The sequence below is a fragment of the Homo sapiens genome, chromosome Y (genome assembly GCF_000001405.40).
Source record: "Homo sapiens chromosome Y, GRCh38.p14 Primary Assembly".
In the NCBI taxonomy this organism is placed as follows: Eukaryota; Metazoa; Chordata; class Mammalia; order Primates; family Hominidae; genus Homo; species Homo sapiens.
Window position 1 is genome coordinate 9,868,965 of NC_000024.10, and position 3,489 is coordinate 9,872,453.

The window sequence follows — 3,489 nt, forward strand, 5'->3', positions numbered from 1 at the left end:
GCCTCTAGGTCTGCAAGGCAGCGTACAATTGTGTGCACGCAGGATATCGACGGCCAACCTGGCGGCTGGTCTCCGGTGTGCCTAGGGCATAGGACGAGAGGCACTTTGGAATGCTCCCCGGAGTACAGCATCCTCACGGAGGAAGCATGGTACGCGGAGCCTGTATTTGCCTCGACCTGCGAGAGCGCTTGCCGGGGTTCTGGCCTCTAGAGGCGACGACTTCCACCCAAGCATAACCCGGCTACTTTCCTCCCTAGCGTCGGCCCCGACCCACTTTCCCCAGGCCACCCCCACTGCCCTCGCCCCAGCAGCCAGAGAGAGTTCTCCTCTGGATCTGCAATATTCCGTATCATCTACCTGGCTTGCCTAATGAAATGAGATGTTTCATGTGCTCCTTGTGGGTCAATGATTTGCCACATTCAGGATGTCAGTTAGGGCACAGGTCTCCCATGCCCGCAATTCCAAAGGCCACGCAGCCCACGTGTGCCTGGACGCAGCGCTACCTGGCACAAGCTCCAAGGGCTTTTCAGAGGAGGGTTACCCCAGGAGGCTGGGACTGCAGGCCAACCTGGGTTGGTGCCGCCCAGGGAGACGCCCACCGCCCTCCGACTGATTGACCGCGGGGGGAGGCGGGTGGTGTTGGCGCGGCTCCTGGCGCCGTTTGCCTGAAGTCTGTTGGGGGAGCCTGGAGCCCAGTGCATGCGCCCTGAGGGCCCTCCGACCCACAGGCTCCAGTAAGGGCAGCGGCAGGGTTCCTGTGGTGTGGGTCAGGCAGCACAGGCGGTGGTCTGTGGGAGTCCGGAGAAGGGCACTGTCTTCAGGATGGAGGCTGTACAGGAGGGGGCTCCCGGTGCGCAGAGCGGGGAGGCAGCCTTGGAGGAGGAGTTGTGCTGCTGTTAGACAACATAATGGCGGAGACGAAGGTGGTGGCCCAGGAGGAGGCCGACGTGGAGCTGCAGGAGGAGGACCAACGGGCACAGCCTGGCCCTGGGCCCATGACCCCAGAGTCTGCACTGGTGGAGCTGCTGGTCGTTCAGGTGGGGCTGGAGCTGGTTAATGCCCGAGCCAGGAATACCTTTTCTCAGGAGAGGAGAAAGATGGAGCAGAGGCGCAAGCCCCAGCTGGACCGCAGAGGCGCCATCATCCAGAGCATCCCTGGCTTCTGGGCCAGTGTTGCATCATTTTCAGTGTTTCTTCTGCCTATCTAGTTGAGAGGTGCTCTTGGGGAAGTGTAAGTAACTGATGGGCAGCTCGGCGTCGATGTGACCATTTGGGGAGGAAACGTGGGTTGCCACGGACACATGTGGCTGTAAAAAGCCGGAGCAGAGGCGGGTACTATCTTCCTGCATGCAGCGGAGAAACCCTTCCTGATGCTGAGCATCAGACGTTTGGGGCATCTTTTTGAAGAGCAGAAGCGAGTTCTCACCAGAACAGGTTTTTCTGTGAATCAAGATATTGTTAAGGGTGTGTGATTGCTCCCCCTTACTAGTCTGATCTGAGACTGGGAGTCTTTGGGTATAAGCAGATTCTGCCACTCCTTAGACACCAGGAACTCTCTGCAAATTTCCCCTCCCAATATCAGTGCAGTCAGCCTCAGAATTACATACTCTCCGTGAACCCAAGAGTCCTTAATTCAGGGGGAGGGAGAGGGGAAAGGGAGGTCATACATGGAAGCAGATCTGATAAATTCCATACCCCTGCCTTTGGGTGCTCTTAGGCCTTCTTCCCTGTTGTTTCTAGCTTTTCCTTCCATGGCATCTAAAGCCTCTTTGACCTAAATCAAGATTGCGAACCACCCCCAGATGTCAGCCTTGATTATGGGTTTATATGCCCACAGATACATCAATCACATCTCCTGGCACTGCTCTGTAATAGAGAGGCCTGGCCTCTGTGAGTCATGGTTCCTAGGCTCCCATAAAAATTACTTCCTGTTTCAATTCAGTTGAGGGGTGACAGTGAAGAGACTAGAGAACAAGAAGACTAGAGAAGCCAGTGTGTGTCCCTCTCCTTCTCAGCAGGGGATATGTTTCTGCAGTGATTCCATGGCCTGCAGGACATGCTCTCTGTTTTCATTTTCTATTTAGTGACCCTAATCCTAGAATATTCTAATGCTATTTCCTCCAATTGTCTTCTCTAAAGAATTTGGGTATCATTTTTGGAGACTTAAATAAAAACTATTGATATGGAAGGGGGTAGAGAAGTGCTGGGTAGGGGAGGGCATGGTCCTTGGTTAGGGCTCCACCCTCAGACCTGTGTTCACTCACATAGGTGAGGACAAACACTTCTGTTTTCTTGTCCAAATGTTGCATTTCCCAAGAACACCCTGGCCTGCCACACCTCCATCCTGTGATATAAGAAACTCCGATACCCTAGCAGGCAGTGACATACCCGCAGATGTTGAGAGGAACATTTCCCAAGACCACCCTGGCCTGCTACACCTCCATCCTGTGATATAAGAAACCTGGAGACCCTAGCAGGCAGTGACATAGCCGCAGATGTCGAGAGGAACCATCAGCAGAAAAAGACGCAGCAACTGGACCTTGAGAAGACACCAGAGGAAGGAAAGCACAAGGACAGAGGTGGCAGGCCATCCACCTCAGAAGAACATGGAGTCCCATGGGGCTGTGGGAAGAGAGTCCAGAGCTGCCCCATTCCAAGGGAAACCGACCTTCCTGCTCCATCTCCCTTGTGGGTCCCCATCTATCTGCTGAGAGCATCCACTCAATGAAACCTGGCACTTATTCTTCAAGCCCACGTGGGAGCCAATTCTTCAGGTACACCAAGGCAAGAAACCCCGGGATTCAGATAGCCCTCTGTGTTTGCAGTAAGGCAGGGTGTCTGATGGAGCTGACTAACTCAAGCCACCTACGGATGGATAAACTAAAATAACACCATGTAACACATGACCTCTGGCAATTCCAGATCTGTGAACATTCATCCCTAGACACTGCCTGGGAGCAGAGCCCCACAACCTGTCCTCATTGCAAGCTCCATTGGGAAGGGTAAAAGCGATGTTTTCCCGTTTCAATATAAGTCTGTTTTCAATGCAGTGTGCTTTCTATAATACTGCCGTGTTACCTCATTTCATATATTTGACAAAATAAGTTACAAATTATAAGTAATGTGAGAAGAAAATAAATGGTGAAGAGTAAGATAGAAAATGAAACATGTTGTCATTAAGGAATGTGTTTTACTTCATATAGCAGAAAAAAGTAAGCATGAATTAAACAAAAAGGGATTTCTGTTTTTCACATGTGAACCAGCCATAGTTAGGCAGTTGCTGCCTTTGATTAGTTGCTCTGCTACATGGTAGTAGCAGAGCTGCATGGTAGTAGCAGTGAATTTTTGGCTATTTTCTCTAAGGCGAAACCTAGATGAAATTCCACACCATGTTGAATTTCAACCAGCTGTTCCTAGCCAGATTTGCCCACACCCTGGTTTTCCACAGTCTTATCATCTCCTACTTTATGTGGCTATTTTAACAGTGTA

At 51.6% G+C, this 3,489-nt stretch overlaps 1 pseudogene; it reads left to right on the top strand.

Moving 5' to 3' along the window:
- TSPY18P (testis specific protein Y-linked 18, pseudogene) lies at nucleotides 657–1,175 on the top strand (annotated as a pseudogene).